General features: G+C 42.1%; 1 protein-coding gene across 176 annotated transcripts in view, besides 1 other annotated feature; it reads left to right on the top strand.

The window, feature by feature from the left end:
• Positions 1-12,521, top strand: part of PTK2 (protein tyrosine kinase 2) — a 344,180-nt gene that overhangs the window by 11,954 nt on the left and 319,705 nt on the right. For 11 of the 176 annotated variants that reach the window (NM_001352705.2, NM_001352698.2, NM_001387641.1 and 8 more), the window contains one exon: positions 5,971-6,284. The exons of 154 other annotated variants lie outside the window; for them this stretch is intronic. In NM_001352705.2, coding sequence (NP_001339634.1) covers positions 6,278-6,284 — 7 coding nt within the window. In that variant the 5' untranslated portion in view covers positions 5,971-6,277. Of the gene's footprint in view, positions 1-5,970; positions 6,337-6,483; positions 6,599-12,521 lie in introns of those variants that run through there. 11 more of the 176 variants (NR_148037.2, NM_001352739.2, NM_001352707.2 and 8 more) reach the window with 4 other exon arrangements.
• Positions 3,539-3,658: a silencer, noted in NCBI's record as "silent region_19584". NCBI's record gives its function as "represses an Ori minimal core promoter by ATAC-STARR-seq in GM12878 lymphoblastoid cells {active_cell/tissue: GM12878}" and the evidence as "EXISTENCE:reporter gene assay evidence [ECO:0000049][PMID:35858748]".

The following is a 12,521-nucleotide window of genomic DNA, read 5'->3' as shown; positions in this document are numbered from 1 at the left end:
TAGTAAATAAGTGATTCTTCTGTTACTTGTCACTAAAAGGTTAGGCTCCAATCATTGACCATTTTCTCTGGTTACTTCAGCACTGTTTCCTCTTCTCTGCTCTTATAACCTGTCTCCCCTCTGCACCCCTTTTGATGGTTTATATAGTGTACCGCCTTGTGGTTTTAAATACTCTTTTTCTGATTATAATGAGGTTGCTCTTTTTTTTTTTTTTTGAGACAAAGAGTTTTGCTCTTGTTGCCCAGACTGGAGTGCACTGGTGCAACCTCGGCTCACCGCAACCTCCGCCTCCTGGGTTCAAGCGATTCTCCTGCCTCAACCTCCTGAGTAGCTGGGATTACAGGCATGCACCATCACACCCGGCTAATTTTGTATTTTTAGTAGAGATGAGGTTTCTGTATGTTGGTCAGGTTGGTCCCGAATTCCTCTCCTTAGGTGATCCGCCCGCCTCGGCCTCCCAAAGTGCTGGGATTACAGGTGTGAGCCACCGTGCCCAGCCGAGGTTGCACTTTTTAAAATAAATTTGCTGGCCGTTTGCATTTACTGTTTTGCCAAGTGCCTGTATTTTTCTATTAGGTCTTCTTTTTTTTTTTTTAAATTCATTAATTTGTAGCTTCTGTATATATTCAGAATCCAAGTCCTTTGTTGGTTTATATATCTTGCCAGTGTCTCCTGCTTTGTGGCATGCGGTTTCACTGAGTCTCAGTAGTTTTTTTGTTTGTTTGTTTTTTTGAGATAGGGTCTTGCTTTGTTTCCCAGGCTGGAGTGCAGTGGTGCAGTCATAGCTCGCTGCAGCCTCCTACTCTTGGGCTCAAGCAATCCTCCTCCCTCAGCCTCCTGAGTAGCTGGGAATACAGGTGTATCACCCTGCTGGCTAATTTTAAATTTTTTTTTTTTTTTTTTTTTTTTTTTTAGAGACAGGGTCTTCCTATGTTGCCCAGGCTAGTCTCAAACTCCTGAGCTCAACCAGTCCTCCCGCCTTTGCTTCCCAAAGTGTTGGAATTACAAGTGTGAGCCGCTGTGCCCAGCCTCAAAAGTGTTTTTTGGATAAACAGAAGTTAAGTTTAATGTAGTCCAGTTTATCAGTCTTTTCCTTTATAGTTCCTCCTTTTTTTTGTCTTCCCCACCCTGAGGCTGTGAAGTAATTCCTCTGTTATTTTCTAAATGTTTAATAATTTTGCATTTTATCTTTAACTGTATAATTCACTTGGAATAGATTTTGGTGTATAGTATAAGGAAGGGATTAAATCAACTTCATTTTAATATGTGGACATCTAGTTATCCCAACACCATTTATTGAAAAGAGTATCTTTTTCCCTACTTCTCTGCAGCGCCACCTTTGTTGTAAATCACTTGTCCGTATACGTGTGTGTCTTTTTTTTTTTTTTTTTTTTTTTGGGATGGAGTCTTGCTCTGCAACCCAGGCTGGAGTGCAGTGGCACGATCTTGGCTCACTGCAGGCTCCGCCTCCCGGGTTCACGCCATTCTCCTGCCTCAGCCTCCCGAATAGCTGGGGCTACGGGCGCCCACCACCATGCCCTGCTATTTTTTTGTATTTTCAGTAGAGATGGAGTTTTACTGTGTTAGCCAGGATGGTCTCCATCTCCTGACCTTGTGATCCGCCTGCCTTGGCCTCCCAAAGTGCTGGGATTACAGGCATGAGCCACCATGCCCAGCCATGTGGGTGTCTTGTAGACTCTGTGTTTTTAGATTCTTTGATTCCACAAGCACTAAGCTGTCTAAGTTATTATAGCTTTATAATAAGTCTTATCTCATTGTGGAACCCTTCCTACTTGTCTCTTCTTCAAGAGTACCTTGGCTGTTCTTGACCTTTTGCAGATCAATATATGTTTTAGAATTACTTGTCAACTTCTAAAATAATTCTTCCAGATGTTGTTTGGGATTACATTGAAGGTCTACATCTATTCGTGGAGAACTGGATTATTATAGATCTCTGAATATTTTTGTACAAGGCTTTGTATGGGTGTAGACTTTCATATCTCTTGGGAATGGTTGGACTAGGACTGGAATGGCTGAATCATATGGTAGGTGTATGTTTAACTTTTTTTTTTTTTTTTTTTGAGACAGGGTCTCACTCTGTTGTCCAGGCTGGAGTGCAGTGGTGTGATCACTGCTCACTGCAGCCTCAACCTCCCAGGCTCAAGTGATCCTCTGACCTCAGTCGCTGGAGTAGCTGGAACTACAGGCACTCACCATCACACATGGCTAATTAAAAAAACATTTTTGTAGAGACGAGGTCTAGTCATGTTTCGCAGGCTGGTGTCAAACTCCTGTGCTCAAGCAATCCTCCAGTCTTGGCATTCCAAAGTGCTGGGGTCATAGGAGTGAGCCACGTCACCTGGCCTGTTGAAATTCTTAAAGTGCCAAACTATCTTCTAGATTTGTACCATTTTGCATTCCCACCAGCAGTGGATGAGAGTTCTGGTTGCTCTGCATCATTAGGGCAACACTCGTTATTGTCAGTCTTGTACATTTTAGCCATTTTAATTCAGTGTGTAATGGAATTTCATTGTGGTTTTAATTTGCGTTTCCCAAATGACTGATAGTGTTGAGCATCTTCTTATATGGTTATTTGCCATCCGCATATCTCTGTGTTTAAATCTTTTATGCATTTTAAAGTTGTTAGCTGGGCACCGTGGCTGATGCCTATAATCCCAGCACTTTGGGAGGCCGAGGCAGGTGGATCACTTAAGGTCAAGAGTTGGAGACCAGCCTGGCCAACATGACGAAAACCCATCTCTACTAAAAATACAAAAATTAGCTGGGCATGGTGGCGGACGCTTGTAATTCCAGCTACTCAGGAGGCTGAGACGGGAGAATTGCTTGAACCTGGGCGGCAGAGGTTGCAGTCAGCCGAGATTGTGTCACTGCACTCCAGCCTGGGAGACAGAATGAGACTCTGTCTTAGAAAATTTTAAAAAAAGGTGTTTTTTTCCTCCATTTTTTTGGGTTTTGAGAGTTCTCTATATGTTCTGGATATAAATTGTTTATCAGATACATACTATATTTTTCTCCCAGGTTATGGCTGGCTTTTTCATTTTCTTAACAGTGGCTTGAAGAGCATAAATTATACGTTTTGATGATGTCCCATTTATGAGTTTGTTGCTTTACGGGTTGTGTTTTTGTGTATGTGTCATATTTAAGAGTTGCCAAATCCTAGGCCACAAAGGTTTTTCTGATTTTTTTCTCCTAGAAGTTTTAGATTTTACTTTTAGGTTTATGATTTAATTTTCATTTATGGTATAAGATTTGGATCCAAATGATTTGTAGGATTCTTTTGAGGCCTGGAATGAGGGTCGCTTCCTCCAGAGAACACTTACTTTTGCGTCAGCCAGTGTGGGATCTCCTTAAACCGAATTCAAGGCTTGAGATTGTTTGGACCCCTCATAGCTCTAGTTCTGCTGGATAGTTGGTTCATTACTGGTTTACTCTCTGGAGGTGTGTAGCCTTTTGGGTTCTTGCTTACTGTAGTGGGGTTTTGGGTTATATGTTTTGGAGGACCCAGTCTTTTATTCCTGTCTCCCCCTCTCTGCACTGTCTTAAAAATGAAAGTTGAGACTTTTCAGAATTGGCAAGTGCACTGAGGGCAGAGGTAGTTTCTGTGCTTATCTCTTTGACTTCCTGGTTTCACTTCAATTTTTGCCTGTTATTTATTTCTTGTCTTGTCAGGTTGTGGTTGCTTTTAAGATTATAAAAATATTCTGTCCATATTTTCTTTTAGTCTTTTTCAGAAGGAGGGTTGGACCAAATAACATTGCTTGAAATTAAGAAGCCAAAACGCGTTCTTTTTTATTTCACTCCAGAGTCTAGACCTGAACCTGATGTTTGATATGGTAACTGCTAGCCACATGTGGCCAATTAAATTGAAATTAATTACAGTTAAGCGAAGTTGAAAGGCCCATTCCTCAGTTACACTAGTCCCATTTCAAGTGCTCATTAGCCACATGTGGCTAGTGGCTACTACATTGGGCAGCGCTGGTATAGAACATTTTCATCATTGCAGAAAGTTCTAGTGGATAGATATGGCTTGACTATCAAAACCTCATCAGGGACTTGCACTGGTACGTGGATCTGCATTTGAAAACCACTAATATGGGTATCCTTGCTGTTTAAAGTTTGAATTTTTTGGAATCTATATAGCTAGACAGATGATTGAGTTCCTTTAATAGACTTACTGTGAAATCTATCCCTAAGGTACAGTGTAGATTCTTAGACTGATTTAGGTGGTGAAATGTGAATCTGTGGCACACTGAGTAGATAACTATTAAGTATTGATATTTTAACTTACAAATATGTCAGTTTTAACTGAGAAATTTTGTGAAAGCATTTATTATATGTTGATCTGTGTCTTAGACCCAGTGTCTCCCATTGCACTTGCCCTGCCATCCCTGCCCTTAGGCAGTCATAGTGCTGTGCAAAGTTGCAGGGCACTGTGGGGTTCTGGCGGGGGTGTCACAGCACCCACTCTTGAGGGAACAATGGGAATTAGCCAGGTGGGGAGAGGAATTAGCCAAGTGGAGAGGGGAAGGATGGGGGAAAAGGTTCTAGGGAGAAGAAAAACATGGGCAAAAGCCTGGATGTTGATGAGAACCGTGTGGAGATTGGTTTGAAGCATCTTAAATTTGATTTCTAGTATCAAGAGAGGTAGCTGAAACCATAGATTTTTAAAAATGTCATGAGGCCAGGCACAGTGACTCAATGCCTGTAATTCGAGCACTTTGGGAGGCCTGGGCGGGAGGATCACTTGAGTCTAGGAGTTTGAGACCAGCCTGGGGATCATAGTGAGACCTTGTCCCTACAAAAATTTAACAAAATTAGTTGGGCATGGTGGTGCATACCTGTAGTCCCAGGTACTCAGGAGGCTGAGGTGGGAGTATTGCTTGAGCCCGGAAGGTTGAGGCTGCAGTGAGTTATGATCATGCCACTGCACTCTAGCCTGAGTGACAGACTGAAACCCGCATCTCACAAAAATAAAAAAATAAAAAAAGAAGATGAAAAGCTATGTCAGGATATTCTGTCCATTTGCACAGTATTTCCTATTAACTGGTAATATAATGTTATTACAGTTGTGTTGGGATCTCTCATTCTAGCTCACAGAGTACCAATCTTTTGATTATGTGTCCACAGTTGTTAGGGTCAGAGGACATGCCTGAAGTAGTCCCAGCTGTCCCTTTCTGCCAATTTAACCGTGCACTAGATTCATGCTTGGTAGTTCCTGGGCACATTTCAAGGAACTCGGGGGATGTTGAGTGGAGTCATTCCCTTATTGTCTATTACTCTAGGAGGAGGAAGGGTTCAGATAAGTCAGTAAGTTGAGCTGTGGTTTAGGCTCTGTACAAGAGGGGCGGTAAAGATGAAGGAGTGGGACTGAGGATGGGTGTGGAGGAAAGGTTAGGGCCACTTTTCATCGCCACCTGGGGTAGCTTGCCAGCACATGTTTACCTTTGGTTTGGGATCACAGCAAGCAGAAGAGATGAAAGCTCCCTTTAACCGTTCTAGGATATGTATTTGAATTGGAGAAACTACCTCAAAATAGAGTGTGTGCAGGCACTATATGAAGGCTTCTCAGCGTTTAAGTGCATACATGCCACCCAGGGATCTCGTTATATTTTAAGTTCCAATTCAGTCTGTCTGGGAAGGGCTCAGACTTGCATTTTTCCTAAGTTCCCAGGTGATGCCAGGGCTGGTGGTCTGTGGACCATACTTGGAGTAGCTAGGCATTGGTTTTCAAAGTGTGGGTTGCAAGGTGGCACTGAGTCTTAGTTTGAAAGTTGAATAACCACTGTTGATTGCGGTAGTTAAGGGCATGGAGTTGGGGTCAGAATCCTGGCTCTATGATCTTGGGCTTGTTTGTTAAGTTTTCTAATCTCTATTTCCTTGTGTGGCATGTGATTGTACTACATGATTATGTAATGCTTAGTCTTTTTTTTTTGTTTTTTTTTGAGACAGAGTCTTGCTGTGTCACCCAGGCTGCCAGGCTGGAGTGGAGTGGCATGATCTCGGCTGACTGCAACCTCTGCCTCCCAGGTTCAAGCAATTGCCCTGCCTCAGCCTCCCGAATAGCTGGGATTACAGGCACATGCCACCACACCCGGCTGATATTTGTATTTTTAGTAGAGACGGGGTTTTACCGTCTTGGCCAGGCTGGTCTTGAACTCCTGACTTCAGGTGATCCACCCACCTTGGCCTCCCAAAGTGTTGGGATTACAGGCCTGAGCCACCGTGCCCGGCAGTGCTTGGTCTTATTAAACGCTTTATGAAAGGTAACAGTTATTAAAAGTAAATGTTTACATTAAAAGTTTGCCAGTTTTCAAAGTGCTGAGTCTTCCCTGCATCTTTGCTCAGTTTGTAAAATTGCACCTCCCTCCCTCCCTCCCTTCTTCTCTCCCTCCCTCCTTCCCTCCTTCCTCCTTTCCTTCCTTCCTTCTTCCTTCCTTCCTTCCTTCACTTCCCTCTCTCTAGGACAGTGATGAACCAGCCTTCTTGTACTGGAGGAATACACCATCCGTCTTCATAAAGACTGGCAGGCACATGGACAAGTTTACCAGTTATAATGCTTTTCTTACACATTAAAGAAGTAGGTGTTTGTATTGGGGCTTCAACAAGGACTTGGAAAACTTTAAGATAATACAACTACATAGTATTCCTTTAGGTGAATATCGTTTCAGTTTCTCAGATCATTGATGAAAGCCTTAACAAAGATTTTTTTTTTTTTTTTTTTTTTGAGATGGAGTCTTACTCTGTTGCCCAGGCTGAAGTGCATGATCTTGGCTCACTGCAACCTTCACCTCCTGGGTTCAAGCAATTCTCCTGCCTCAGCCTTCCGAGTAGCTGGGATTACAGGCACCTGTCACCATGTGTGGCTAATTTTTGCATTTTTAGTAGAGACAGGGTTTTGCTCTGTTGGCCAGGCTGGTCTCAAACTCCTGACCTCAGAAGATCCGCCTGCCTTGGCCTCCCAAAGTGCTGGGATTGCAGGTGTGAGCCACCACACCCGGCCTAGATTTTAAAATAAGCATCTGTTTGTTTCTTTTTTTAGTTGCCACTAGTAAGGATGATGGAAAACTATATTTTGTACTAAGGATTTTGAAAGATAGAATTCTTTCAAGTGAGAATTCTGTGACTTTTCTGTTAAATGCGTATTTAATAACTAAAAATACAAAGCTTCAATGTGAAAACCTTGTAGAAGTTTTCAAACATATACAGAAACAATGTTGTAATGAATTCCCTGTTTATTCATTACCACTTTCAGCCATGGTTATTATTTAATAAGTATTGTTAACTCTTTAAAGGTACTGGTTCATACTTAAAAGTTGTGAAGTAACTTGCTTCTGAAAACGTACGCTAACATTGGACAACTCCTGCTAAAATGTGACATAATTCATGATGCATTTCTTTAAAAAAGATAGGGAAGGAATTGAATATAGCTCTGCTGCTTTTCTAAGGTTCTTCTGTGAGTGGGTGATGCAGCTGACTGTCCTGTGTCTTTCTTTCTTTCTTTTTTTTTGGAGATTGAGTCTTGCTCAGTTGCCCAGGCTGGAGTACAGTGGTGCTATCTCGGCTCACTGCAACCTCCGCCTCCCGGGTTCAAGCGATTCTCCTGCCTCAGTCTCCTGAGTAGCTGGGATTACAGGCACCCGCCACCATGTCTGGCTAATTTCTGTATTTTTAGTAGAGATGGGGTTTCACCATGTTGGTCAGGCTGGTCTCGAACTCCTGACCTTGTGATCTGCCCGCCTCAGCCTCCCAAAGTGTTGGGATTACAGGCGGGAGCCTCCGCACCCAGCCCCCGTATCTATCTTAATGATGCAGTGTGTATCTATCTTAATGATCCAATGTGTATCTTAATGATCCAGTGAGCTAAGCAAGGCGGTGGGGACTCTCCACAGACTTGGAGCCTTTAGTTGGAAGGTTCTTTTCTTAAAACTGTACTTGAATCAAAATAAACTGTAGCTTGCTATGCTTTGCTGTATTGGTTTAATGTTCCTGATAGCAGTACATGTCTGTTTTTAACTGAGTCATTTTTTTTTTTTTTTTTTTATTGAGTTGGTGAAGCGTGGAGCTTTAATAGAGCAATATTTATGAAAGAAATATGCTAATCTTTTTCAAAAAATGATTAAACTGAAGAAATACAAAAGAATATGTGTAAAATATAAGGTAGAGATAATCTCTACCTTCTTCAAGAATGCTCTGAGCTCTGAGAACCTGGAGGAAGGACACCCAAGTCAGCCTTGGTTAAGTCCCTAGTTATGCCCTAGGTCAGGGGCTAGCAGACTTTCTTCGTGAAGGGCTAGACAGTAAACATTCTAGGCTTTGCAGGCCACCTGTGACCTCTCACAAGTACTCAGCTCTGCTGTACAGTGCTACAGCATCCATGGGCTGTATGTAAAGGAATGAGCTGGCTGTGTCTAGTAAAACTTTAGACACTGAAATCTGAATTTTCTATAATTTTCACATGCCGTGAAACATTGTTTTAGTTTCTTTAACCATATACGATGTAAAACCATTTTTAGCTCACAGGTTGTACAAAAACAAGTGGGGCCACATTGGCCTGTGGGTCATAGTTTGCTGTTCTCGTGTAGAGGGTGATAACAAAGCAAACTCCTAGGTACCTCCTGCCCAGCTTCAACAGTGGGATTTTCCCATGCCCTTGAAAGGCCAGTGTGTGTTCCCTGATCACATACCCTTCCCTCCTGCCCCACAGGTTCTGTCCCATCCCACTCCCACCCCTCACACCGGTGCCACTCTGTAAGTGAAGCCTTAAGTCACCTCTCCTGAAGACATCCTTCCTTGGCCCCGCTCAGTGTTTCATTTCTTTTCAAGCCCTTTTCACCATCTGTTACTGTTTGTATTTTACTTACTTTTTAGTTTCTTTCTCTCTTGGTGGTGACATAAAGTCTGAGGGCAAAATGTTTCTCTGTTCCCTGTTGAATCCCTGACATTTAAAACAGTGGTCATTGAATGATATTGTTTTTTTCCATTTCTTTTTCTTTTCTTTTTTTTTTTTTCCAGAGCAGGAGTGGAAGTTTATTAAAAAGCTTTAGAGGCTGGGTGCGGTGGCTCATGCCTGTAATCCCAGCACTTTGGGAGGCCGAGGTGGGCGGATCACGAGGTGAAGAGTTCGAGACCAGCCTGGCTAACATAATGAAACCCCAGCTGTACTAAAGATACAAAAAAAAAAAAAAAATTAGCTGGCCATGGTGGCGGGCACCTGTAATCCTGGCTACTCAGGAGGCTGAGGCAGGAGAATCGTTTGAACCTGGGAGGTGGAGGTTGCAGTGAGCCAAGATTGCGCCACTGCACACCAACCCAGGCGACAGTGTGAGACTCTGTCTCAAAAAAAAAAAAAAAAGCTTTAGAGCCGGAAAGAGGAAAAGTAGACTTGGAAGAGTCCCAGGCAGGCGACTTGAAGGACAAGTACCTGTTTTTGCCATTTCTTCGTGTTTTGTCTGTTTTGAACTTTATTTTATTTTTTATATTTTTGAGATGAAGTCTCGCTCTGTCGCCCAGGCTGAAGTGCAGTGGCGTGACCTCAGCTCACTGCAACCTCCGCCTCCCGGGTTCACACCATTCTCTTGCCTCAGCCTCCTGAGTAGCTGGGACTACAGGCGCCCACCACCATGCCCGGCTAATTTTTTCTATTTTTAGTAGAGACGGGGTTTCACCATGTTAGCCAGGATGGTCTCGATCTCCTGACCTCGTGATCCAATCCGCCTGCTTCGGCCTCCCAAAGTGCTGGGATTACAGGCGTGAGCCACCGTGCCCGGCCGAACTTTATACTAAGGGTATCATGCTATATGTCTTTATATGACTTGATTTTCTTTTTTCCTCCCATCCTGCACTCTGATTTTAAAACTTAGGTGCTGTATGATAGTTTTCATTCATTTTCACTGTTGTGTAATCTAGCCTACAATTGATGGGCAGTTGGTTTGCTTGCAGTCTCTTGCTGTACTGCAAACACTGCCACACAAATGTGAACACTCTTATTGCTCATAGACATGGATGTGCATAGCCTATGTATCTAGGAGTGTGATTGCTGAGTTATAGGGCTGGCCAGTCTTCAACCTGACTAGTTACTGCCAAATTGCTTCCCAAAGTAGTTATACCAATTTATATCACCACTAATATAATGACTCCTTGTATTAGTTTGTTTTCACGCTACTGATAAAGACATATCCGAGACTGGGTAATTTAGAAAGGAAAGAGATTTAATTGACTTACATTCCACATGGCTGGGGAGGCCCCACAATCATGGTAGGAGGCAAGGAGGAGCAAAGTCACATTGTACATGGATGGCAGCAGTCAAGAGAGCTTGTATAAGGGAACTCCCCCTTATAAAACCATCAGATCTCATGAAACTTAGTATCACGAGAACATCACGGGAAAGAGCCCGCCTTATGATTCAGTTACCTCCCACCGGTCCCTGCCACAACACATAGGAATTGTGGGAGCTACAATTCAAGATGAGATTTGGGTGGGGACACAGCCAAACTGTATCACTCCTGTTGTTCCACATCCTTGTCTGTAGTTTATTTTGTCTGACTTTTTCAGTTTTGTCATTTTGGAGGTTGTGTCATATCTTATTGTGGCTTTAATTTGAACTTCCCTTATTAGTAATGATGTTGAGCCACTTTTAATATATTTGCTATCTGTTTTGTCTTCTGTGAAGGACCTATTAAGTTTCTGGCCTTTTTTTTTTTTTAATTGACTTGTAGCTGTTCTTTCTATGTGTGGATTGCAATCCTTTATCATTATGTGTTGTGAATATTTTCTTCCAGTTTGTGGTTTGTTTTTTTTACCTGTGAGGTGTCTTGGAGCTAAAGTTCTTTTTTTTTTTCTTTTTTTTAATACTTTAAGGTTTAGGGTACATGTGCACAACGTGCAGGTTTGTTACATATGTATACATGTGCCATGTTGGTGTGCTGCACCCATTAACTTGTCATTTAACATTAAGTATATCTCCTAATGCTATCCCTCCCCCCTCCCCCCACCCCACAACAGGCCCCGGTGTGTGATGTTCCCCTTCCTGTGTCCATGTGTTCTCATTGTTCAATTCCCACATATGAGTGAGAACATGGGGTGTTTGGTTTTTTTGTCCTTGCGATAGTTTGCTGAGAATGATGGTTTCCAGCTTCATCCATGTCCCTACAAAGGACATGAACTCATCCTTTTTTATGGCTGCATAGTATTCCATGGTGTATGTGTGCCACATTATCTTAATCCAGTCTATCACTGATGGACATTTGGGTTGGTTCCAAGTCTCTGCTGTTGTGAATAGTGCCGCAATAAACATGTGTGCATGTGTCTTTATAGCAGCATGATTTATAGTCCTTTGGGTATATACCCAGTAATGGGATGGCTGGGTCAAATGGTATTTCTGGTTCTAGATCCCTGAGGAATCACCACACTGACTTCCACAATGGTTGAACTAGTTTACAGTCCCACCAACAGTGTAAAAGTGTTCCTATTTCTCCACATCCTCTCCAGCACCTGTTGTTTCCTGACTTTTTAATGATTGCCATTCTAACTGGTGTGAGATGGTATCTCATTGTGGTTTTGATTTGCATTTCTCTGATGGCCAGTGATGATGAGCATTTTTTCATGTGTCTCTTGGCTGCATAAATGTCTTCTTTTGAGAAGTGTCTGTTCATATCCTTTGCCCACTTGTTGATGGGGTCATTTGATTTTTTTCTTGTAAATTTGTTTGAGTTCATTGTAGATTCTGGATATTAGCCCTTTGTCAGATGAGTAGATTGCAAAAATTTTCTCCCATTCTGTAGGTTGCCTGTTCACTCTGATGATAGTTTCTTTTGCTGTGCAGAAGCTCTTTAATTTAATTAGATCCCATTTGTCTGTTTTGGCTTTTGTTGCCATTGCTTTTGGTGTTTTAGACATGAAGTCCTTGCCCATGCCTATGTCCTGAATGGTATTGCCTAGGTTTTCTTCTAGGGTTTTTATGGTTTTAGGTCTAACATTTAAGTCTTTAATCCATGTTGAGTTAATTTTTGTATAAGGTGTAAGGAAGGGATCCAGATTCAGCTTTCTACATATGGCTAGCCAGTTTTCCCAGCACCATTTATTAAATAGGGAATCCTTTCCCCATTTCTTGTTTTTGTCAGATTTGTCAAAGATCAGATAGTTGTAGATATGCATGCGGCATTATTTCTGAGGGCTCTGTTCTGTTCCATTGATCTATATCTCTGATTTGGTACCAGTACCATGCTGTTTTGGTTACTGTAGGGAACTAAAGTTCTTAATTTTAATGTCATAAGCTTTATTTCTTTTTTCCTTTATGATGAGTACTTTTTATTGTTTTGATTTTTTTAAGGAATCTCTCTTTATCCAAGGGCTAAGTTTTGATGTGAAGTATTTTTATTTAGTTCATAAAGCATTTATTATTATTATTTTGAGGCAAAGTCTCATTCTGTCACTTAGGCTGGAGTCCAGTTGGACGATCACAGCTCACTGCAGTATTTTTTTTTTTTTGGACAGTCTTGCTC

The sequence above is a fragment of the Homo sapiens genome, chromosome 8 (genome assembly GCF_000001405.40).
Source record: "Homo sapiens chromosome 8, GRCh38.p14 Primary Assembly".
In the NCBI taxonomy this organism is placed as follows: domain Eukaryota; kingdom Metazoa; phylum Chordata; class Mammalia; order Primates; family Hominidae; genus Homo; species Homo sapiens.
This window is presented reverse-complemented; position numbering and strand designations above follow the sequence as displayed.